We start from the raw sequence: 26,323 nt of genomic DNA, 5'->3' as shown, positions 1-26,323 counted from the left end.
AGAGAACCAATAAGTAGTGATGCATACAGGGTCTAGCAACAGCAGGAAGCTGTTACCATCCCTAGACTTGAAGGGGAAGAAGCAGCGTTGTAGCAGCTTGGTCATCCCTTGGAGCATTCAGTTAAATGAGTTTTCAGATGAACTACCGGATCACGGGCTTCTGGCCAATTTCAGTCAGGAGCATTCTGTCTTACAGACTAAGAGTACATATTGGTTTTAGGGTGAGGGGGCTTATCACAAGCTTGGAATGTTTTTGTGTAGGGGAGAAGTTTATGGCAGTGTTGGAATGTCTCTGGGCAGAGGGGAGGTTCTATTGGGGCTGACATCCTTCCAGCCAGAGGGGAGGTTCCACTGGGGCTGACATCCTTCCAGCCAGAGGGGAGGTTCTGTTGGGGCTGACATCCTTCTGGCCAGAGTAGGGGTTCTGTTGGGGCTGACATCCTACTGGACAGTGGGGAGGTTCTGTTGGAGCTGACATCCTTCCGGCCAGACGGGGGAGGTTCTGTTGGGGCCGACATCCTTCTGGCCAGCGGGGAGGTTCTGTTGGGGCTGACATCCTTCCGGCAGGAGGGGAGGTTATCTTGGGGCTGGCAGGTCTCTGGTCGGGGAGGGGTTTGGAATGTTTCTGGTCGGAGACGTCATTTGTGTTGTATGGTCATGCTGACCTTAGCCATTAGGCTGATGCCCTTTGGATTTTGGTGGGTTTTGATCAAGGTGAAACTTAAAATGGCAGTACTTGTCCAAGATGGCAGTGCTCCTGCTCTGTCAGTCCTGACAACATGTGCCTAAGGTGGTCGGGGCACAGGTAGATTTTATGCATTTTAGGAAGACATGAAATATCAATCAATATGTGTAAGATGTACACTGGTTCAGTCAGGAAAGGTGGGGCAACTCCAGACTAGAAAGGTGGAGGCAGAGTGGGGGCTCCCAGGTCGCAGGTAGGTAAGAGACAGACGGTTACATTCTTTTCAGTTTCTGATAAGCCTCTCCAAAGGAGGTGATCGGATATGCATTTCTCTGTGGGCAGAGGGGGGACTTTGAATAGAATGGGGCAGGTTTACCCTCAGCAGTGCCCAGCTTGACTTTTACCTTTAGCTTAGTGATTTGGGGGCCCCAAGAATTATTTTCCTTTCACAATAATTTCACTTGGGTGGAAAATGTAGTGATGAAATGGCTGGATATACGTAGGTGTGCATTTAACATTTGCAGAAACTGTAAAACTGTCAATATGTACAACTATAACACATTGTAGTTAATTGCCAAATTATTTAAATGGTAGGGCCATTATATACTCCGATTAGCAGTATATGAGAGTTCCAATCATCTGTATCCTTGCTAGCACTTGCATGCCCAGTGTTTTTAATTCTGGTTAGTTTAATGGGTAAGTCATGGTATTATGATATTTTGAGTTTTATTTGCACTTCCCCAGTGACTAATGCTATTGCTCATCTTTTCATGTGCTTATTTGCCATATGTCTTCTTGGGTGAAGTGTTTTTCAAATCATTTTGCCCATTAGTTTAATTGGATGGCTTGTTTTTTATTGAATATTGAAAATTCTTTGTATAATCTGCATACGCTCTCTTGTCAGATATATTAGTTGCAAATGTCTTCTCCCAGTATGTTGCTTTTATTGTCATTCTCTTAATGATGTCACTCAAAATGCAGAACCTTGTACTTTTCATGACATCTAATTTACCAGTTTGTTCTGACAGAATGTACTTTGGTGTCAGATCTAAAAAAAGTTGTTTAATCTAAAGTCACAAATTGATGATCTATTTTGCGTTAATTTTTGCGTATCGTGAAGGATGGGTTTACTTATTGCATATGATGTGAAGGATGTTGAAGTTTACTTATTGCGTATGACTCTCCAATATTTCCATCACCATTTTTGGAAAAGATAACTCTTTCTCCATCAAATTCTCTTTGCATCTTTGTTAAAATCAGTTGTAACTTAGTGTGGTGGCTCACAGCTGTAATCCCAGTGCTTTGGGAGCCCGAAGTGGGAGGATCGCTTGAGCTCAGAAGTTTGAGGCCACGCTGAGTGACATAGACCCCATCAAAAATTCCAAAAGACAATCAGTTGCTAATACATTTGTGGGTCTATTTATGGGATCTCTATTCTTTTTCAGTGGACTATTTGTCTATCCGATGCATTACCTTACTATCTTGATTACTGTGGCTTTATAGTAAGCCTTAAAATAATGTTCTCCAATTTTTTTTTTTTTTTTAAATGGAGTCTTGCTCAGTCGCCCAGGCTGGAGTGCAGTGGCATGATCTTGGCTCACTGCAAGCTCCGCCTCCCGGGTTCACGCCATTCTCCTGCCTCAGCCTCCCAAGTAGCTGGGACTACAGGCACCTGCCACCACGCCCAGCTAATTTTTTGTGTTTTTAGTAGAGATGGGGTTTCACCGTGTTAGCCAGGATGGTCTCGATCTCCTGACCTTGTGATCCACCCACCTTGGCATCCCAAAGTGCTGGAATGACAGGCATGAGCCACTGCACTTGGCTCCAATTTTGTTTTTTTGGCAGGGTCTATTTTACATCCCTTGCATTTTAATGTGGATCTTTAGGATTAGCTTGTCAATTTCTACAAAAAAAGCATAATTGGATTTTGACAGGGTCATGTTGAATCTGTAGATCAATTCATTAAAAAATGACCTCTTAACAACATAGATTCTTCCGATCCACAAACGCAAGATATCTCTCTGCTTATTTAGGTCGTCTTTAATTTTTCTCAGCAATATTGTGTTATTTTCAGTTGGCAAGTCATTCATATCTTTTGTCAAGTGTGCCTGTAGATATTTTGTATTTTTAAGGCTATTTTAATCTGTATTTTTTTAAACTTTAAGTTTTTGTTTGTGGCTAGTATATAGTGACACATTATTTTTTGTATGTTGATCTCCTTTTCTGCTACCTTGCCAAATTCATTTAATAGTTCTTTGTAGCTCTTTTGTTAATTCTGTTGGATTTTCCACCTAGCCTATCCTGTTGTCCACAAATAAAGACCATTTTCCTCCTTCTTTTCCAATCTATAAATGCTGTCTATTTCTCATTCTTGTCATATTGCATTGGCTTAAATCTCCAGTACAATTTTAAATAGAAGTGGTAAGGGTGACATCCTTGTCTCGTGTCCAATCTTAGGGAGAAAGCAGTCAATTTTTTACCTTAAGGTTGTTAATTGCAAGTATTTCATAGGTGCTCTTTATCTCATGGAGGAAGTTTCTTTCTCTTATCATGTTGCTGAGTGGTGTTATCAGTTATAGACGTTGTCATTTCTCAGATACTTTCGTGTGCACGTCTAGTTAGATCATCATAGAATTCTTTGTATAATGAATGACATCGATTGATTTTTCACATGTTAAACTAAACTTGCAATCCCAGGATAAACTCTATTTGGTTAAGATGGGTTACCTTGGCCAGGCATGGTGGCTCACGCCTGTAATCCCAGCACTTTGGGAGACTGAGGCAGGCGGATCATGGTTCAGGAGTTTGAGACCAGCCTGACCAACATGGTGAAATCCCGTCTCTACTAAAAATACAAAAATTAGCTGGGTGTGGTGGCATGTGCCTGTAATTCCAGCTACTCAGGAGGCTGAGGCAGGAGAATCACTTGAACCCAGGAGGCAGAGGTTGCAGTGAGCAGAGATCGCACCACTGCACTCCAGCCTGGGAGACAGAGCGAGACTCCGTCTCAAAAATAAATAAATAAATAAAAATAAAAACGATGGGCTTTCTTTTGAATATATTGTTGGATTTAATTTTCCAAATTGTGTTTATAATTTTTTTTGTTTATGAGTCATAGTGACCTACAATTTTGTTATAATGCTTTTGACTTTGGTATCAGGGTAACTAATGCTAGCCTCAAAGAATGAATTGGGTAGAGTTCCGTTCCTTCAGTTTTTTGGAAGAGTTTGTGCAGAATTGGTATTAATTTGTCCACAAATAATTGTTAGAAATCCCCAGCAAAACTATCTGTGGAGTTTTCTTTGTATGAAGGCTTTAACTATAAATTAAGTTTCTTTAATAAACATGGAGCCACTCAAGTTATCTATTTCTTCTTGAATGGACTCTTGGCATTTGTATCTTCCACGAAATTCATCCATTTAATGTGAGTTATTTTTGTAGAAATACTTAGTTCAGATATACGGTTTGGTTATCTTTGAAAAATCTGACTGAAGAGAGCAGAGTGATTGGATGGCGTTTCCCAATGGCACAGGAATATCAGTGGGGCTGTTAGGGGCTCTTAAAATGTGTGTCCTTATTTCATTTAACAACTGTTACCGAGCACTTACTGTGTCCCATGCACCGCATTACACACTGTGACTACGGCAGAAGAGACAGAAAACCCTCTTTGCTGTGTATTCAGTGGCTCTAGGCTTCGGCATTGTGTGTGCTTGTGAATTCACTCTACGGTTTTCCTACGTTGTGAGTGGGTGTTACTAACTATGGGTGATGAGCCTCAGTTTCAGAGCCCTGTAGGCAGAGTTCACATCCTGGTTTTGCAATTGATGGGCTATGTGGCCTTGGGCAAGGTTGTCTGAGCCTGGTTTCAACGCCTGTGAAATGGGAAGGTGGGGGTGGGTCATAGTGCCCCTTTCTGGGTTTTGTCAGCATCGTATGAGGAGATGAAAGTAACGCCCTTGGTGTAATGACTAGCACCCAGTCAGTGCTCAGTAAACGCAGGCTGTCGGCATTATCACCCATGGCTTCCTGATGAATGGGTTTCCACGTGTCTGTTTTCTGCCTTCCTGCCTACCTGCTTCCAGACAGTTGTGAGTTTAAGAACAAAATCAGCTGATTAGTTGGAACCGTGCGCACATTCGGGGTGAGTGGATTCAAAGGGAAGGTCTGAAATGGCCTCCTAGAAAGTAAACTGTGTAACATCAGGGACGATGGCTTTGCAACATCTGTGTTGGTTACTGGGATGTCTTTCTACCATACTTCTTGGCTGAAGCAGTATGTTCAGAAACTGCACAGCAGATTTTCAAAAAGAGGAGGTATCATGGTATCAGTGCTAGATTTCTGTCTGTGTTGGAAAATGCCAACAATATCCACACTGGGTACGTTGAGTCCTTCCGCCTTTAAGCTCCTTGCACACTTGATTTCAGAAACTCAAGTTCCTTAGCCGAACGCTGGCTGAAGGCATCATGCTGCACTCTCCCCTGCTCCCTGGCACAGGGCGTTTGCCCTGCTCAGCCCCAGGGGTGCTGTCTTTGAGCAAAAGTCTCCCGGAGGAGCTTCCCTTCCTTCCCTCTGCTGTGAGTGCACGCGCATTGTTCTCACACAGGCTCTTTGCCGCTGCAGAAGCAATGACAGCTGTTAATTATTCAAGGCAAGGAGAGATGCTTGTTAAAGATGAAGTTTTTTATTTTTATTTTTATTTTATTATTATTATTATTATTTTTGAGACGGAGTCTTGCGCTGTCGCCCAGGCTGGAGTGCTGTGGCGTGATCTGGGCTCACTGCAAGCTCTGCCTCCTGGGTTCACGCCATTCTCCTGTCCTGAGTAGCTGGGACTACAGGCGCCCGCCACCACGCCCGGCTAATTTTTTGTATTTTTAGTAGAGACAGGGTTTCACTGTGTTAGCCAGAATGGTCTCGATCTCTTGACCTCATAGTCCGCCCATCTCGGCCTCCCAAAGTGCTGGGATTACAGGCGTGAGCCACCGCGCCCGGCCAAGATGAAGTTTTAATAGTCTGAGTTTAGCTGCAGGGCAGCCCATCAGGCTTTGGGCATGGTTTGCTGAGAGAGATGGTTCAATCTCATGGGTGTGAGTACAGGCTCCAGAGCTGGACTTCCTGGGTTCAAATCCAGTCTTTGACTGCTACTAACTGTATGTCTTTAAAGTGCATTATTTAACTGGGCTGTTCTTTTACTTGCTCAGGGGTAATATCTGCTAGTGCCAATCTTATAGATTTAATGGCCTTAATAACGAAGGCAGTGTTTTAAAATAGTGTCTGATAGGGTGTAGAAGTTTAGCAAATGTGAGCAGCCACCATTACAATAATTACCATTGCTGTGTTTCATTGTATTACTCCCCGGCAAGAATAGTTTGGCCTTCTTTGCTCAGGACATTCTCATCCCACCCCAAATTGAGATGGAAGATGATTTATGGTTAAAATAAATCCAAAATATCTCTGGGAGTTGTTTACTTTAGAACAATGGGTTTTTAGAGTTTTGGGACCATAAATCATAGACATGTACATAGAGATATAGTAATCACATGTACATACATACTTCCATATACACAAACATACCCACACCCCCCCCTTAAAACAAGCTTGTCCAACCCATTACCCATGGGCCACATGCAGCCCAGGATGGCTTTGAACACAGCCCAACACAAATTCATAAATTTTCTTAAAACACTATGAGATTTTTTTGCAATTTTCTTTTAGCTTATCAGCTACTGTTAGTGTATTTTATGTGTGGCCCAAGACAATTCTTCTTCCAATGTGGCCCAGGGAAGACAGAAGGTTGGACACCCCTGCCTTAAAAGATAAGTATTATACAAGTAAACCTCCCTCTTCTATGTGCAATGCAATCTAGAGTCTTCTGCTCTCCTCTACCTGTCTTATCTTCTGTCTTGTTTACAAAATACTGGTCATAATCCACTAGATTGACCTGAGCATGAATTGTGACCCACATTTTGAAGGACAGTTCTCTGGCAAGAGCTCAGCCAGAGTTAGCTTTCTGATGGTGAACAGTCTGAATTGGGAGTCGGGGATCTTTGCCAGGGTCTTGACATCACATGACTGTGCAACATGACGGAAGGTTCTTCCCAAAAGTGAAACCCATCTTCACTTGGTGAAGTGAGGAAAGGAAGACAAGGCCAGCAAATTCTTCAGTGTCTACAGTGGACAGATTATACTTTCCTCCGGAATGTTAGGAGGGTAAAAGGAAATTATTGGTGTTGAATGTTTTATGGATCAAGACACAGCCTTCTGGTATTGGAAATAATCATAACAATATTACTGAGATGCTGGTGTGGAGCTGGAAGACATTGTAACGCAAACCACCAGAAGAGAACCTCATAACATTAACCGTTATTGAAATAGAAACCTAAGTTGTAGCGATTGGGAAAGGAGATGGAAAGTCCTCTGGAAATGTGAGAAGAGCAATTCTTGACAAGTCAGTAATTATTTTTCAACCACCCATGAAACCAGGGATTTTCAATGAGAGGTCGATCAGCAAATGTTGCCTTCAGACAGACACACTGTGCTTGGCATGCAGTGTTTAGAAAAAAATACTTGCTAACATTTTAAAATGGAGATAATTCACATAAAGTCAGGATTTCCCATAAAATCAGACTGGACATGCATGACGTGGAATGGCTCCTGCAAGAACAGAGCTGCCCAACTCACGTCGCCATCCAGCCCACGGAGCACCCAGATTCTCCTCTCCCTCCAGCCGCCAAGGGTGCGGGACCTTCTTCAGTGCTGAACTTCGCTTCCTGCAGAGAAAGGTTTTCTTTTCTTCCTGTCGAAGTTGCAAATGCAGATAATCCCACGGCTAACAAGATTGGTCTCTCAATTCGTAGGTTCAGGAGTGTTTCTCAAGCGTCTTCCCTGTGCGGGGCACTGTGCCTGTCCTTGGGTATGTGGAGGAGGTGAAGCACCCCCAGCCCCATCCTCCTGGGCCCAGCCATTTAGTGGTGGGAGAGCAGTGTGAACGACGCCCTGTTGCGGAAAGGTGTCCAGTGCTGTGATGATGAGGGCGGCTGCCACTACAGTTAGAGACTGCTGTCAGTGGGTGGAGGGTCCCTCCTTGGGGAGCCACACCGGGGCCAGGCCATGAGGAGTGGGTGAGAATGGGCTGGTGGAGAATGTGCTGGCAAGGATGCTCCACGTAGAGGGAATGGGCCCGGGAAGAGCCTAGTTTGTTTGAGGAACTGAGCCGAGGCTGAATGATGCGATGTGGATTCTATCCGAGCGGAAGCAGAGCCCTGGGAGGGTTTTCAGCAACGCAGTGAGATGACCAGGTTTGTGGGTCTGACGTTTCCTCTGGTGACAGTATGGAAGATGAGGCCAGAAGGGTCAGCGTGGAAGCCGCGCTCGCTCTCACCGCTCCCGACATCGCAGCCCGGATCCTCACCAGCTCGCTGTCCATCTCTCCCGCTCCCGATTTCCCTGCCTGGGAAACAAATCCACGTGCTGGGCGAAACGCTCTTCTCACAAATGCAGGCTGATTGGCCCGCCACGGCCAAGGTCCCCCGGGTTCTCTGTGCCCTCAGTAACTGCCTGCTGGGCAATGCATCCTTTTTTTTTTTTTGACAGAGTCTCTATTGCCCAGGCTGGAGTGCAGTGGCGCGATCTCAGCTCACTGCAACCTCTGCCGTCCGGGTTGAAGTGGTTCTCCTGCCTCAGCCTCCTGAGTAGCTGGGATTACAGGCGCCTGCCACTGAGCCCAGCTAATTTTTGTATTTTTAGTAGAGATGGGGTTTCACCATCTTGGCCAGGCTGGTCTTGAACTCCTGACCTCGTAATCCACCCTCCTCAGCCTCCCAGAGTGCTGGGATTACAGGTGTGAGCCACTGCATCTGGCCAGCGCATCCATTTTTACACAGAGAAGCAAGTGCCCACAGGCAAAGGGGTGGCTGTCAAAACAGAAAAGAGACCACTATTTCGTTCCCCTTCTCTGTGTCCACAGCCTCCCTGGCACTGGGACTTAGGATAATTTTTGAGTTTCCAGGAAACACCCGCCAGGGCTGATGGTAACAGGTTGTGGTGAAGAAGCTTGCTTGACTCAGTTACACAGGTGGAAGAGGACATAGTTAAGCTATAACCAGCATAACCAGCATATGGCATGTGCTGGTAATCAGTCGTGAGACTGTCATGAAACAGCTGTCCGTTTCTTACCTCTCGGGAGGAAGAAGGGCTGTGGACACCCAGCCCCACAGCCCCTTGACCCAGCTTTGAGCTCTCCTGCAGACGCTGAGAGTTTCCGCCCAACAGGCCTCCTCCACGCCTCTCTGACTCCAGGCCTGGGACGTGGCTCGGCTGGGGCAGTGGTGCAGCGCAGGGCAGCCATCCAGGCTGTCAGATAAGATGCAAATGCACAGTTAACTTTGAGTTTCAGAACAAGTGATTTTTAGTGTCTCTATCTGGGGTTGGATGGTGGCTTCCCAAATATGTCTATGTCCCAATCACTAGAACCTGGGAATATGCCCTTATTTGGAAAAAGGGTCTTTGCAGTTGTAATTCAATTACAGATCTCTGGGTGAGATCGTCCTGGAGCACCTGGGTGGGTGGTAAACCCAAAGAAAAGGGCCCTTCTAAGAGACAAAGGGGAAGGCCACATGAGGGTCAGGGCGGAGGCTGGATTGCCGACAGCCCCCAGAAGCTGGAAGGGGCTGGAAGGAGCCCCCCCGCCCCTCCCCGGAGCCTCTCAAGGGAGCCCAGCCCTGATGACACCTCGATTCCAGACTTCTGGCCTCCAGAACTGTGAGAGAATAAATTTCCACTGTTCTAAGTCACTCGGTGAGTGGGAATGTGTCAAGGCAGTCCTAGGAAACAGCATGATATTCCCTGGAACAGTGCCTTCAACACCCAGGCGACCCTTCCTGCCTAGGAGCCGTGCTCCCCATCCATTTATGAATCCTCTGTCACTGAGTTTGCTCTCGATGGCAAAGTGGTTGCGACAGGGACAGTCTAGCCTGCAAGATCTAAAAAAATAATGACTCTGTACAGAAAGTGGTTCTGGCTATCTGTGGAGAGTTGACGTTCCAGCCATGTGCTGGGTCCATGTCAGAACCAACAAGTCCATTGTGGATTGTGGTGTCTTGACTTCCTATTAACCTCCTAATTTTTAAAGTCAGTTTCTGGTTCCATACCCAGGACCTAGGAAAATGATATTTAATCAACATTTTTGGTAACAGCAAGCTTAGCCCTATGGATATGACCTGGAGTATGCACCCTGAGAAGATGTTAATCCTTCTCTTGAAGTCCAAGTGCGTTGCTCTCGTTGTTGGATGATGTTGAACGCTAGAGTCTGCATCCCGCTTTCCCCTGGCTGCACTTGCTCTGGGGCGACAATCCGCTTCCTCACGGAAGTTCGTGTGCAACTTGCACCTAGCCAGCCAGCCAGCCAGCCATCCGGGTGACACCTTGGGGGTGAGGATTGTTTTGCTGGTAAAAATGGAAGGTGGAGTCCTTGCCATCCTGGGCTTTCCTGGCAGTTTTTAAAAACCGCATTCCTTCAAAACTATCAGCAAATGAGAGGTGCCTCAGAAGCGGGGAGGTCTGGTTGCTCCTGGCAAGCGGAGGGCTCCAAAAGAAACAAGTTTTGTGTTCAGAAGAAATGCAGGGAGCTCCACCTGCCACCTAGTGCAGATGTAAACCCTCTTATTTTTCTAACCTCATCTGTCATCCTTCTTTAGTGCAAGATCCTCAACTTTTTTACCAGCTGAAAAGTGTGTGCTGTCCACTGATGAGAGAGGGCTGCGGGGAGCCCTTGGGTGGATTGAAGACTTCATGGAATGTTGCTGGAATTGCTTATTCTGGCGGGGACTCTGATGGGCGGAGCTGAGGGACAGTGGGGATGCAAGCTTGAGCTTGTTATTTGGGGACCGCTGGCCTCTTTGTGCTGTGGCCCTGGGGAGTCTATCTCCTGGTCTCTGGGGAGATGAGGTTGATTAGGAGCAATTACGTGTGTTGTCAGTTGGCAGGTGGCCTTGAGCTTCAGCCTAGGGTGTGGGGATGACATTCCTCCATGTGGATTTCTGCTTCCTTCATGTCCAGTGCTGTGCTGAGAGCCCTCATTGGGGAGACCGCTTGGCATTGTGTTATTTGACTCTAAACTTGCCTTTCCCCGTGGGTGTGGGGATTGCCTTCCTGGTGTAGAAGCGTCTGCAGGAAGAATGCTTTCACGTGTTTCCTGTAAAGATGTAATGAATTCTTAGTAGATTTGTATCTGAGAGTCGAAGACTCCAATCCCTCCCAGAAACTCACTCAAGAACAGCAGTTTCTAACCACATCTGCACCTGGGGAGCCCGAGGGGGCCGTGCCAGTGCCTCACCCTGAGGACTGTGGGTTAGCTGCTCTGGGATGTGGCTGGGGCTTTGGGAGTTTAAAAAAATCCCCTGGTAATTTCAGTGTGAAGATAAGTTTGCAAAGCCTGGCTTCAAGGTAGGCTCTAATTTTCACTGGGAATCAGGGTGGGTTCAGGAGGAGCTATTCAAACTGGGTCAATTTTTAAAAAATTAAAAATACTTAATTTTTAATTTTAAAGATAATAATGTCTATAAGGGTACACTGTGATGTTTCGATCTATTTATACATTGCGGAAGGATTAAATCAAGATAACACATCCATCACCTCACCTATTTAGTATTTTTCTGTGGTGAGAACAAACTGGGCATGGCTGGCACTCCATCCGTCAGTCATTTGGTGGAGTTTCAGGAGTTAGCTGCCTGTGTGGCAGGACTGGAAGCCATAGCCTTCATCTCGTCCTGGGGCTGACCCTATCCTCCAGCAAAGATTTCAAAGCAGCCTCCTGGGAGAAATAAGGAGCTTTGTTTGCAGAGAAGAAAGTGATTCATTGAGTACATCAATGAGTGCTTTTCACCAAGAGCTATTTTCTTTTTCTTTTTTCTTTTTTAAAGAGTCTTTCTATTCATTTTAGCAGAAAGCAAAACAAAACAGAACAAAGCGTGTGTTGTATGTGTGCGCACATGTGCACTTGTGAAGGTGTGTGTGTTTGTATGTAAGAATCTTTTGATGAAAGAGCCCACGTTACTTTGCTGGAATTAATTGGGTTGACAGCCCTGCCAGGGTCTTCCTGAAAAGGATTATTACATTTCATTGTTGTTGCTGACTATAGCTGGGATATGAGGGTAGAGTCACTGGAGATCTGAATATTGATTTTTCAATTACTGGTTAGCAAGTCTTATCGACACAGTCTCCGACTTCTCTTAGGACAGAAAGGGCTTAGGACAGAAGGCTGACGTCCCGAGTGTTTAATGTACCAAAGTCTGGAGGAGATTAATTTCATAAGGAATTCCTGATTCCATCTTTGCAAATCCCCCGTGGGGCTTGCAGCTACCAAAGAAGAATTTGAATCATGTTCAGGACACCAGTTTAAGCACAGTCTACATCAGATAACTTCTGTGAGCTCTATTATGTGGTCATCTTGGCAGACACTTAGGGAAGCTACTGAGCTTCCTGTTTCATCTGGGAATGAACCGATATTCATGTGTTCAACAGATGACAGGATAATACAACATACAGTAGGTGACAAAGTGAATATGCTCTGCGGAGATGTCCTCAAATGCTTTCCGAACCATTGAACCATATGGCATTGGACTCGCTTTCTTGTCTCCTGAAATCTTTCTGGTTCTGACAATGAGGACCTCTCTGGTGGGTGCTGATACACGTCCACTACCTCTCCAACAGCGTGTCTCCCTTCAGCTCGTGCAGAAAGAATAGGTCTTGGGTGACTCGCAGTGACCGGGACAAGGTGGCACATTTAGCCAAGATCTGATTGCAGTTGGCTTTTCTCATGTTTATTTTAATGGCTGCTGTTTGTAGTGAATGATGCTGGTTCTCCATTTCAGTGTAGTGAACTCAAGTCTCCTTGAAGGTGAGTCTCCTTGAGAAAATGTTAAAGTGAATTGATTTAAATACAAATATTACAAAATGAGCTAAACAGACCGGATGTGGATATGGCACCAAGAATGGATGGAACCTGCTTGTCAGTGGGTTGGGGAATACTCATAAATGAAGCTCAGAGCATGAGAAGGGGCTGGAGGCTGGAGAGAGGGGAATGAAGGGCTTCCTGGAGGAGGCAGGACTTGGGCTGGGTTTTGAAGATTGGAGAGGAGTTGGATTGTTGGGCCAGAAGGGAAAGGAGATGATTCAGATGGGATGGGGGAACAGCAGGTTCCAAGGCTCAGGAGCAGGAATGGACAGGAACGGGATTGAGATGCTGAGGGAGGCGAGGACCCCGGCTTGCTGGATGAGGGGTGCTGGCAGGACTGTGTGGAGGGACAGAGGAAGGACAGGGACATCATATGTGCTGGCAGGTGCAGAACAGTGTGTGGGGGGCAGCACCAGCATCCAGGCAGGAGGGGAAGTTGGAGGACACCGCTCCCCCATCTCTTCTTTTTTTTTTCTTTTTTTTTTTTTATTATACTTTAAGTTTTAGGGTACATGTGCACATTGTGCAGGTTAGTTACATATGTATACATGTGCCAGGCTGGTGCGCTGCACCCACTAACTCGTCATCTAGCATTAGGTATATCTCCCAATGCTATCCCTCCCCCCTCCCCCCACCCCACCACAGTCCCCAGAGTGTGATATTCCCCTTCCTGTGTCCATGTGATCTCATTGTTCAATTCCCACCTATGAGTGAGAATATGCGGTGTTTGGTTTTTTGTTCTTGCGATAGTTTACTGAGAATGATGATTTCCAATTTCATCCATGTCCCTACAAAGGACACGAACTCATCATTTTTTATGGCTGCATAGTATTCCATGGTGTATATGTGCCACATTTTCTTAATCCAGTCTATCATTGTTGGACATTTGGGTTGGTTCCAAGTCTTTGCTATTGTGAATAATGCCGCAATAAACATACGTGTGCATGTGTCTTTATAGCAGCATGATTTATAGTCCTTTGGGTATATACCCAGTAATGGGATGGCTGGGTCAAATGGTATTTCTAGTTCTAGATCCCTGAGGAATCGCCACACTGACTTCCACAATGGTTGAACTAGTTTACAGTCCCACCAACAGTGTAAAAGTGTTCCTATTTCTCCACATCCTCTCCAGCACCTGTTATTTCCTGACTTTTTAATGATCACCATTCTAACTGGTGTGAGATGGTATCTCATTGTGGTTTTGATTTGCATTTCTCTGATGGCCAGTGATGACGAGCATTTTTTCATGTGTTTTTTGGCTGCATAAATGTCTTCTTTTGAGAAGTGTCTGTTCATGTCCTTCGCCCACTTTTTGATGGGGTTGTTTGTTTTTTTCTTGTAAATTTGTTTGAGTTCATTGTAGATTCTGGATATTAGCCCTTTGTCAGATGAGTAGGTTGCGAAAATTTTCTCCCATTTTGTAGGTTGCCTGTTCACTCTGATGGTAGTTTCTTTTGCTGTGCAGAAGCTCTTTAGTTTAATTAGATCCCATTTGTCAATTTTGGCTTTTGTTGCCATTGCTTTTGGTGTTTTGGACATGAAGTCCTTGCCCATGCCTATGTCCTGAATGGTAATGCCTAGGTTTTCTTCTAGGGTTTTTATGGTTTTAGGTCTAACGTTTAAATCTTTAATCCATCTTGAATTGATTTTTGTATAAGGTGTAAGGAAGGGATCCAGTTTCAGCTTTCTACATATGGCTAGCCAGTTTTCCCAGCACCATTTATTAAATAGGGAATCCTTTCCCCATTGCTTGTTTTTCTCAGGTTTGTCAAAGATCAGATGGTTGTAGATATGTGGCGTTATTTCTGAGGGCTCTGTTCTGTTCTATTGATCCCCCATCTCTTCTTCTTCTTCTTATTCTTTTTGAGATGGAGTTTCCCTTTTATTGCCCAGGCTCGAGTGCTGTGGCGTTATCTTGGCTCACTGCAACTTCTGCCTCCTGGGTTCAAGTGATTCTCCTGCCTCAGCCTCCCATGTAGCTGGGATTGCAGGTGCCTGCCACCATGCCTGGCTGATTTTGTATTTTTAGTAGAGATGGGGTTTCTCCATGTTTGCCAGGCTGGTCTTGAACTCCTGACCTCGTGATCCACCCACCTTGGTCTCCCAAACTGCTGGGATTATAGGCGTGAGCCACCGCCCTGGCCTCTTCATCTTAATTTATAAATTCTCCTGAGGGAAGACAAAGCTATGAAATACATTTATCTCATCAGAGACAGATTAGTGAATATTTCCTGGTTAATCACAGAAAGTGCCTGTGGTCACTTTCATAACTACTTTTGAAATACTTTTAAGCTACTAAAATACATTTCAGCAATATTAGAGAAATCAGTCATAGGAAAACAATGAGCTGCTCCCACATGGGTACTTTGGCCCATTTCCTCCTCTCTTTTCTCAGGGACGCTTTGTTTTTAGTAGTCTCAGGGCTGGCAGACTCAAAAGGCCTGTGGGGGCCAGACCAAGAAGTGAAATGTGGGAATCAGGCAAGACGTGAGAGAACCCTGCAGAGTCCAGGGCAGCGGGGAGTGGTGGGGACTGTGACCACGTCACCTACTTCCCTGCAGGGGCAGCCTGGATTCAGTGCCCACTGAATTTCCTGGGCTCAGTGCTGCTAGATCTTTGGATTTTTCAAAAGATGTTAGAAAACCAGATTCTCATGTAGAATCTTCTGGTTTTAAAAACTGGCCTCTTTTTTTTTTTTTTTTTGAGACAGGGTCTCACCGTCACCCAGGCTGGAGTGCAGTGGCACAAACATGTCCCATTGCAGCCAGGACCTCCCCAACTGGGCTCAAGCAGTTCTCCCACCTCAGCCTCCCGAGTAGCTGGGACTACAGGCACATATGACCACAACCTGCCCTAAAAGTGGCCATTTAATTCAACATTTTCCATTTTCATGTGTGCTAATACTGAGTAGACCAAACAAAATGTGTGTGGGCTGTGAATTTCCTACCGAATTTTCGACGAATGTATTTGATCCCCTTTTCACTCCCCAAACGTCCAAAAGGCATCTCCCCATCGCCCCGCCTCATGAGCAGAAAGTAACAAACCAGAGGACCCTCCCCTTCTCACTCCGTGGGGGACATGGTTACACCCACGGCTTATAATGGTAGCAATGATGGGGCTGGAGTGGTCATCGGATTCAGTGGCTCACGCCTGTTAACCTCTCACTTTCAGAGGCCAAGTCAAGAGGATCACTTGAGCCCAGGAGTTCGAGATCAGCCTGGGCAACAGAGCGAGACCTCATCTCTACAAAGACAATTTAAAAAAAAATTTCTGGGCATGGTGGTGTACATCTGTCATTCTAGCTACGCAGGAGGTAGGAGCATTGCTTGAGCCCAAGAGATTGAGGCTGCAGTGAGCTATGATCATGACACTGCATTCCAGCCTGGGTGACATAGCAAGACTCTGTCTCAAAAAAAAAGAATGGAACAACTTTAATAAATAAAAATATAATAGTTACAAAGAATGAAATTTTAATACAAAATAAAAAGTAGTTACAAAGAAAAGAGTAAAAGATGATGGTGATAGTGATGGTAGTGATGAAGGTGATGATGATGTAATGGTGATGGTAGTGATGATGATGTAATGGTTGTGATAGTGATGATGTAATGGTTGTGATAGTGATGATGTAATGGTTGTGATAGTGATGATGTAATGGTTGTGATGAGGTGATGGTGATGAGGTGATGGCAGTGATGATGATGTAATGGTCATGATAGTGGTGATGTAATGGTGGTGATGTAATGGTGGTGATGAGGTGATGGTGGTGATGTGATGGTGGTGATGGTGGTGATGAGGTGATGGTGGTGATGAGGTGATGGTGGTGATGTGATGGTGGTGATGGCAATGAGGTGATGGTGGTGGTGGTGATGAGGTGATGGTGGTGATGAGGTGATGGTGGTGATGTGATGGTGGTGATGGCGATGAGGTGATGGTGGTGATGGTGGTGAGGTGATGGTGATGGTGGTGGTGAGGTGATGGTGGTGATGAGGTGATGGTGGTGATGGAGGTGATGGTGGTGATGTGATGGTGGTGATGGCGATGAGGTGATGGTGGTGATGGTGGTGAGGTGATGGTGATGGTGGTGGTGAAGTGATGGTGGTGGTGAGGTGATGGTGGTGATAAGGTGGTGAGATGATGGTGGTGATGTGATTGTGGTGATGATGTAACCACCGTTACATATGTGGTTACATCATATGTAATGATAGTGGTGATGTAATGGTGATGAGGTGATGGTGGTGAGGTGATGGTGGTGATGGTCATGGTGATGATGATGTAATGGTGATGGGGGTGATGGTGATGTAATGGTGGTGATGGTGATGTAATGGTGGTGACGGTGATGATGATGTGTTGGTGGTGATGGTGATGCGATGATGGTTGTGATAGTGATGATATAATGGTAGTGATGAAGGTGATGATGTCATGGTGATGAGGTGATGGTGGTGATGGTCATGGTGATGATGGTGTAATGGTGGTAATGGTGATGAGGTGATGGGGGTGGTGGTGATGAGGTGATGGCGGTGGTGGTGATGAGGTGATGGCGGTGGTGGTGATGAGGTGATGGGGGTGGTGGTGATGAGGTGATGGGGGTCGTGGTGATGAGGTGATGGCGGTGGTGGTGATGAGGTGATGGTGATGTAATAGTCGTGATAGTGATGATGTGTTGGTGATGGTGATGCGATAATGGTTGTGATAGTGATGATGTAATGTTAGTGATGAAGGTAATGATGATGATGAAACGGTGATGAGGTGATGGTGGTGATGGTCGTGGTGATGATGATGTAATGGTTGTGATAGTGATGATGTAATGGTGGTAATGGTGATGATGGTGATGAGGTGATGGTGATGGTGATGTAATGGTCATGATAGTGATGATGTAATAGTAGTGATGAAGGTGATGATGATGATGATGTAATGGTGATGAGGTGATGGTGGTGATGGTCATGGTGATGATGATAACTAGCACCTACAAAGTGTTTATTAGGTGCCAGGGGCCTTTTCAGGCAGTTTTCTTTCATTAGCTTATTTAATCTTCCTGACAATCCCACAAGGAAGGTGCTAAAATCCCTCCTTCACAGATGAAGCTGGGGGCGCGGAGGCACTATGCCACATCCCAAAGGCCACACAACATAGAGTGTTGGGCCTTGCCTTTGCTTGCCCAGCTAGCCTGGGGATGGAGTCGGTGCACTGAATCATTGCAGAACTGTGCACCTCTCATTGATGGTGGCATTTGATATTTAACATGTTGGTTATTTAATCCCCCAGCTGTATTGTAAATTCTTGAACAAAAAGTAGTCACTCCTAATGACTTTTATATCTGCCCCTTGAACATTCTTAAGTATAGAAGAGGACGTTAACAAATACCTGTTGACATCATGCTTTTACAGTCAGTCACAGTGGAGGTGGCATTCAGTTATTCATTCATCAAACACATTCTCCACACAGCTTTGTGGCATGATAGTGTTAAGGGCGTTGGAATGAATGAACTAGACAAATGCCCTGCTCTCGGGAGACTTGGAGTCTAGGTCAGAGCCCAGATTACACCAGAACCACATAGAAGGCTTGAAAGACAGAGGGCTGGGCCCCTCCTCCAGTTTCTGATTCAGCAGGTCCTGGGTTTGGGCAGAGAATGTGCATTTCTTTCAGGGCCCTGGGTGATGCTGGTGGCGCTTTGAGAACCACTGGTCTAGATCAAGCGAAGGCAGTGTGGTAACAAATAAGATGTTATGGCTTAAGAAACCCACAACCATCTCTAAGCTGGCCAGCAGCTGGCAAATGCTTGTGCTCACCAGAGCCGCTCATGGTGCCATGCGTCATCCCTCTTGGGGGATGCATGCTTCCTGACTGCAGGTGGGCGGGCGTGGCAGGAAGAGCATGGGCTGGAATCACACACTATCTGCCTCTGCCACCTCTGGGCTGTGTGTTCTTAGGCAAACAGTCTGACTTCTCTGAGCTCCCACTTCTTCACCTTTGAAATGAAGGAAACAAGATTCATTCATTCAGGTGTGCAATACTAGTTTATTGAGGGTCCACTATGTACCAGGCACAGAAAATACAATAGTGAACAAAACAGATTAAAAAAAATCCCTGCCCCTGTGCCTTCTAGTGGGAGCAGAAAAGCCAGCAAAATAAATGAGTAAAGGCATCTGCTGTATTCAAAGGTAGGGAGTGCTATGGAGACAGCAGAGGAGGAGGGAGGGAGGTGGAGGGGTTTGTAATTTTAGTTGGATGTTTAGGGAAAGCTTCTCTGAAAGACCTTACGTGGGTGAGGAAGTGAGCCACGTGGGTATTCACGGAAGAGAGTGCCAGGCAGAGGGAGCAGCAGGTGCAAAGGTCCTGAGGTCGGTGGTGGTGGTGGTGGTGAAGTGAGAGTGACTGAGCCAGGGAGGGAGGAGAGGCCAGGTCATGCAGAGCCTTTCGGGCCTTTGGTTTAACTCTGAGATGGGAAGTCATTAAAAGGTGATATGCAAAATAATAGTGTGTGGCTTATTTTTTGGTGTTGTGACTTCTGGCCACCATGTTGACAGCTTACTAATGGGGAGTAAGAACAGACCAGGAGAAACCCATTGAGAGGCCATTCTCATAACCCGGCGAGGAATGGTGATGACTCAGGCCAGGCTTATAGCAGTAGCTGTGGAGAAAGTACTTACGTTCCGGGTATGTCCTGAAGTCAGAGTCCACAGGACAAAGAGAACAGAGGAAGGAAGGCGACAGGTCTGAGGCCTGAGCCGCGAGAGCCTGGAATTGCCACCTACTGGCACGGGAGGGCTGTGGGGTGGGGAGACTGGCAGGAAGGCCAGGAGCTCGGCTTCATTCTGGATGCTCTTATGATGCCTCTGAGACCTCCACTGGGACAGGCTGGGTGGGCAGTGGGGGTGAGCATGGACCTTGGAGGAGGGAGCTGGGATGGAGATGGAACTTTTGGAGTTTATGTAAAATCAACTCTTAAGACAGCAGTGATCTGAGAGTAAGGTTGGAAACCATTGCTGGAGCAGATGGGGCCCCTGTGTGGGCTTCAGCTCACCAGATCCACGCCCCCCACCCTGTTGTGTTTGAACCTGACTCCCGGCACACCCCTGTGTGACCTGGGACCACGGGGCATTTCAGTTGATGACCCAGAGGCTGCCACCCTTGAGCTAGTCTCTTTTGTATGTGACAAACACACTGCTCTGTCCAGGACCTGCCTGTCTTGGAAACCATCACCCCCAGTGCCTGGCCCATGAATATGAGCAGGTGAAGGGCAGGATGAGGGTGCGGCCACGAGGCCCCTGCCTCAGTGCACAGTGTGTGGGTGGCACTGAAAAAAGCTGGAGCCAAGATAGGAGATATTTTAATATATATCTATATATACATACACACACACACACAAACAAACACACACACACACACACACACCATTGCTGGGTCTCACTCTGTCTCCCGGGCTGTTTCTCGGCTCACTGCAACCTCCGCCCCCAGGGTTCAAGCGATTCTCCTGCCTCAGCCTCCCAAGTAGCTGGGATTACAGGTGCCCACCACCACGCCCAGCTAATTTTTGTATTTTTAGTAGAGATGGGGTTTCACCATGTTGGCCAGGCTGGTCTCAAACTTCTGACCCCAAGTGATCTGCCTGCCCCAGCCTCTCAAAGTGTTGAGATTACAGGCATGAGCCACTGCACCTGGTCTTAATGCAGTATTTAAAATATCAAAATTAATGTGCAGTCCCTGATGAACAAAATATCAAATTTTCAAATAAAGCCGATGTATTAGTCTGTTCTCACGCTGCTAATAAAGACATACCTGGGACTGAGTAACTTACAAAGGAAAGAGGTTTAATGGACTCACAGTTCCACATGGCTGTGGAGGCCTCACAATCATGGTGGAAAGTGAAGGGGAGGGAAGACACATCTTACGTGGCGGCAGCCAAGAGCACTTGTGCAGGGGAACTGCCCTTTCATAAAACCATGAGACCTCATGAGACTTATTCACCACCATGAGAACAGCATGGGGGAAACCACCCCCATGATTCAATCATCTCCACCTGGCCCCGCCCTTGACATGTGGGGATTGTTACAATTCAAGGTGAGATTTGGGTGGGGACACAGCCAAACCATATGGGGTCAATATTACTTTTTTTTTTTTTTTTAAATGGAGTCTTGCTCTGTCACCCAGGCTGGAAGGCAGTGGTGTGATCTTGGTTCACTGCAACCTCTGTCTCCCGGGTTCAAGTGATTCTCCTGCCTCAGCCTCCCAAGTAGCTGGGATTACAGGCACCTGCCACCATGCCCGGCTAATTTTTTTTTTTTTTTTTTTTGTATTTTTGGTAGAGACAGTGTTTTACCATGTTGGCCAGGCTGGTCTTGAACTCCTGACCTCAGGTGATCGCCTGCCTCGCCTTCCCAGACTGAATATTACTTATTTTGAATTTGGCCCCAGGCTGTGAGCCATACTGATCTGGTCTTTATTAAGTGATGGTTTTGCCTCCCTTGCCTCCCTCGAGCTCTGGTTCCTATATTGTGGCCAGGGAACTGTTGGACCCTTCACCATCGCTTCTGGTCTGATGGTGAACACGACCATTGCTGGGTCCACTCATCTAGTATTTATTGACCGGGCACGAGTGTGAGGCCTTAGTACACAGGACAGATAAGGTGCTTTTACTCAATGAGCTTGTGCTCAATGGGGGAGTGTGCTGGGGGTCCCTAAGACCACCTCCAGGTTTGCTGATTCTCTCAGGACTCACAGGACTCAGCCCACAGTCATACTCACAGCTATGAGGGTTTTACTCTGGCAAAAGTATTCAAGCAAACCAGCAAAACCAGCAAAGGGAAGAAGAGCATGGGGCCAGGTCCAGAGGCAACCAGACACACGCTCCCAAGAGCCGCTCCCAGTGGGGTCACACAGGACGTGCCTAACGAGTTGTGACAATAGGTGTGAAACGTCATCTACCAGGGAAGCTCATCAGAGAGTCAGGGCCCAGGGTTTTTACTGAGGACTGGTCACGTCGGCACCCTCTGCCCAGCATGTACCAAAATTCCAGGCTCTCATAAGGAAAGCAGACACCTAGTCCAAACCACATTGTTTCTAGAAAAGGCCAGCCACTGTGAACCCTCTTATTAGCCAGGGAATGGGATAAGCCCTCCTGATCCAAGATCGCACAACCAGCCGGGCTTGCAATCAGCCCTTCCTCAAAAGCGGGGCTCAGACGTGCCGTGTGAGCTCTTTTCTGCACCAGACCAAGAACAAACAACTGAAGCAACAGGCTACGATGCCCCACCCCTTCCTCACAACTCTGATATTCAAAAGGCCCTGAAAACCAAAAGATCCTGAGAAATAACTGATTTGTCCTTGAAATCTGAACCAATGGATGTGAGACAACTTCTCATCTTTTTTTAATCCCACTTGATTTGTATTTACATATTTCACCGCAGAACTATGAATATATTTAATAATGAAAGACGGTGTCAGACACCACTGGGAGCATTAGTTATGTTTGGTGCACATCTTATAAATCCAAGCCTTTCTGAATCTCTGCACATGTTCAGCCCTAGGGCTCCAGATGAGGACCTGCGACTTCAGATAGTGGAGCGTGCAGTGGAAGGCACAAGCCAAGTGTGGAGACGGGGCAGGGTGAGGGACTCGGTCGTTGGGTAGCGAGGGGAAGTCTCTGAGAAGGGGGCATTTGCGCTGAGAGCTGAATGTCAAGGAATGAGCTAACGTGAAGATCCAAGGGAAGCCTGTTCAGGCAGAGGGGCCCACAGTGCACAGGCCCCAAGGCTGGAGCAAGTTTGCTATGATCGAGAAACAGAACACAGGCATGTACGACTGGGGCCAGGAGAACAGGTCTGTGCATGGCTGAAGATGCAGCTGGAGAGTCAGGTCAAGGCGAGGTTGGACAGGTGAGGCAGGGGCAAAGCTGCAGAAGGTCTTGGATGTCAGGCAGGTTTGCACTTTGTACTGCTGGCAGCTGGGAGCCATGTTGGATTCTAGGGCAGAGCAGCAGCCATCCAGAATGATGCTTGAGAAAGATGATTCTGGAAACGGGGCAGAAGGCATTGGGTAGACCAGAGGCCAGTAGAGGCAGAGAACAGGAAGGTTCAGAAGTGGATGGATGGAATCCTCTGAGCTTCTGCCCCAGCTCAGGCCCTGACCCATGCCTCCTCATCAGCTTCCAAGCCTGCACTACCTTTACTTTCCTGGAATCTCTGAATCCTGTGAATAATTTGCCACAGTGTGCTACTGGGTGATAATGGCTTAATGTGAAACCATCCAGTTCACATCTGCCTTTCAGAGAAGATATTTTTTTCCCCAGCTTTGTTGAGGTATAATTGACAAGTAAAAACCGTAGCTATATAAGATGTATGGCAGGGTGTTTGATGATGTAGACATTGTGAAATGATTACCACTATCAAGCTAATCGGCATATAGTTACCTGTATACCACAAAGGTTACGTTACTATATAGCTATTGTTTCGCATAATTACCATTGTTTAAAGAGATGTTTCACATTAGCTCTGAGGGTTGGCGGGTGGGGAGGGATTGAATTTCAAATGAGATGGAGGGATGTCAGCTTCCCGTTTATTGCACCATAAAGGCATTTTTAATTATAATATTGACAATAACAATATAATGATGATAATAATAGCAATAACGTGGCTGATATAGTTTAGCTTTGTGTCCCTGCCTAAATCTCATCTTGAATTGTAATCCCCACGAGTCAAGGGAGGGACCTGGTGGGAGGCGACTGGATTATGGGGCAGTTTCCCCCATGCTGTTCTCGCGATAGTGAGGGAGTTCTCATGAGCTCTGGTGGTTTCAAACATGGCGGTTTCCTCTGCATGCTTGTGCTCTCTCCTGCTGCCTTGTAACATGTGCTTTGCTTCCCCTTGACCTGCTGTGACTGTAAGTTTCCTGAGGCCTCCCCAGCCATGTGGAACTGTGAGTCCCTTAAACCTCCTTTCTTTAAAAATTACCCAGTCTCAGGTAATATCTTTAAAGCAGTGTGAGAAGGGATGAATACAGTGGCAGTTATAATTATAGCTAGCGTTTATTAGGCACCATTTTCCACCCAGTGAGCCACATATGGTTCTAATCAAATCTGTCACCATAGCTGCCCTGTAAGTCAGGCACCGTTACCATCCCTGTTTTACAGATGAGAAGACAGGTGCAGAGAGCTTGAGGCACATGTACAAGGTCACACAGTGAATAGAGGGGACTGGATTTGAACCTGAGCCTCTGGTGTATGCTCAGAGTAACAGCGCTTAGTGGAGAAAGGGGTGAGTCATTCTACCAGACAAGAAAGGAGAAATCCTTCAACGCAGCCCATGGTGACCTTGCAAACCTCAGGCTGCAGCCGGGACATTTTGTCTCCTCTGTGAAGGTCTGGGCCATCCCCTTCGCTTCTCTTTGTCCCCATCTCTGTCCAGAAGTTCCTGTTCCACCCCGCGACTCCTGCCACACTGTCGGTCTCTTTCTACATGGAGATATTTGCTCCCAGGCACTGCGCCTGGACACGCGATGGAAACACGCCATCCTGCAATCTCCATCCTGGTGTGATTCGTTTAGGACTCGGAGCTTGTGTTTGTGGCATGTGGTGCGCACATATGCCTCTCGGCGCTCGGCGGGGCTCCTCCTCGCTGCTGCTGGCAGTTTGTGCTAAGGACTCCCTGCCGTCCTCCCTGTCCTGCCAGCTCGTGCTTCATCCTCATCTCTCCATTTTCCAGACCCAGGGAGGCTCGGGTTTACCAGCCACTTGGCTGGGAGGACTGAATAGTCTGGCTTGATTCTCTTTCCTGGGTGATTGCTTTGGTTCTGGGTATGAGCAAGTGCACATGCAGGGGCCATCTGCTTCCCGCGGGAGGAGATACTTAGCCCGCACAGCTTGGATGCCGGCATGCAGCTGGCCACCTGCCAGCTGCCCACGGGTAGTGTGTTTAGGGCTCTGAGGGTCATGCGCCAACCTGCTGAGGATCTAGAAGCACAGCTCACAGCGATTCTCAAAGCATGCAGGGCCATTGCTCTTGGAAGCAAATGCCCATGTCTATGGTCATGAAACTCTCCGTTCCTGTTTGTAGTTTTTGCTTTGGGCCTGTGGTTTTGGTTACACATTAAAAGATACAGAAAGGTAAAAAAGACGTCTTCTCATGCTCAGGATACAAAGCAAGGTTCCTACCGTGGCCTACAAGGTACGATCTGCAGCCCCCTCCTCCCCCTCACCTGTCCGCAGCCCCTTTGCCTAACGGTCCCCCCGCACCAGCCTCCCTGCAGAGTACACAGTTCCCACTGTGATGTCTCCACACTGGCAGTTGTTCTGTCCACCATGCTCCTCCTCACTGCAAAGAGCCACCCAGCTCACTCCCTCATTCTCCTCTGCTCTGAATTCAAATATCCGGGGGTGTCCTGTTAACCAGCTTTCCGGGGAAGTAAAGAAAAAGCCCAGAACATTTTGCTGTGCAGTTTGCCCATTCCCACAGTGTAAATATTTCCACCACGATTATTTTCAAGTTACCAGATGACTTCAACAGACACGACTTAGGAGGAGATCTTCCTGTGAGCCCATGTGAGCGGCTCCAGGGCAGCCACATCTGAGCAGCCTCTGCTGACCACTCTGTCTCCTTCATCCTCCATCCCCTTCATGGTGCTTTGTGTTTACAGTGCTTATCACTACTTAGCATGTTGCATCTATGTGCTAGGTAGCACGCTGCACGACGAGGAGAACAAAGCTTTGTGTGTTTCATGCACATTTGGATCCCCAGTGCCTAGAACAGGGCCCGACAGTTGCAGGCAGGAATGGGTCACGTAGTTATTATAGGTGAATGCATACACTGTAACGTTGGTGAAAGTAGAAAGAGATGTGTTCACTGATGGGGACTTGGCTTTACTTTGATGGAAATGTCACATGAATATTGCTTAAAAGGGTTGGAGGGGAAGAATTCTATTCCTATATCTGCCTGGAGAGTTTAACTCACACCATAGCAGCAAACAGCCCCCAACCTCTCAAGTGTGTTTCTTGCCTCTGCGGCATGTCCATTGGGTTGGTGGGAACTTCTGTTCACTGTTGTTCCTCAGGGACCCCAGCAACTCTAGTACTGTGAGCATTGTAGGCTACTGCCGGGGGTGGGGGTGGGGGGTGTGATTCTGGAGGACTTGGCACAGGGCATCTGGGGGTGGGGTTGGGGGGTGTGATTCTGGAGGACTTGGCACAGGGCGTCTGGGGGTGGGGGTGGGGGGTGTGATTCTGGAGGACTTGGCACAGGGCGTCTGGGGGTGGGGTTGGGGGATGTGATTCTGGAGGACTTGGCACAGGGCGTCTGGGGGTGGGGGTGGGGGGTGTGATTCTGGAGGACTTGGCACAGGGCGTCTGGGGGTGGGGGTGGCGGTGGGGGGTGTGATTCTGGAGGACTTGGCACAGGGCATCAGCACTCAGGTCTTCTGCTCACAACGCATGGGTGAGACCTGGCCGCATGGGCCTAGCTAATGAAGGGGTCTAGGAAGTTGTCTTCCCTGTGAGTGGACAGAGGGAACCAGGCTTGGCAAGCAGTGGGTGACGGCCACAGTGCCTAGAGCACAAGGAGGTGGTGGCAGAGGGGTTGTGAGCCCTGGGGTGGGCGGTGGGGCTGCTCAGGGCTTCCGATGCCCTCTCTGGAGTCCTTGAGAAAAGCCAGGGACCACTGTTCAGTCTTCCTGTGCTCCCAGCCGTTTGAACTTTGATGT

The 26,323-nt window shown here is 47.2% G+C and overlaps 1 protein-coding gene across 35 annotated transcripts in view, besides 1 other annotated feature; it reads left to right on the top strand.

The window, feature by feature from the left end:
• RIMBP2 (RIMS binding protein 2) overlaps positions 1-26,323 on the top strand; it is a 320,167-nt gene that overhangs the window by 115,344 nt on the left and 178,500 nt on the right. The gene's annotated exons all lie outside the window — the stretch shown is intronic.
• Positions 23,848-24,017: an enhancer, noted in NCBI's record as "experimental_25901 CRE fragment used in MPRA reporter constructs". NCBI's record gives its function as "activates a minimal promoter by MPRAs in K562 erythroleukemia cells, with activity observed for both the introgressed and non-introgressed 12:131061569 variant alleles {active_cell/tissue: K562}" and the evidence as "EXISTENCE:reporter gene assay evidence [ECO:0000049][PMID:34662402]".

This window comes from Homo sapiens, chromosome 12 (genome assembly GCF_000001405.40).
Source record: "Homo sapiens chromosome 12, GRCh38.p14 Primary Assembly".
In the NCBI taxonomy this organism is placed as follows: Eukaryota; Metazoa; Chordata; class Mammalia; order Primates; family Hominidae; genus Homo; species Homo sapiens.
The sequence above is the reverse complement of the archived record's forward strand: the minus strand, read 5'-3'. Positions and strand labels throughout refer to the sequence as shown.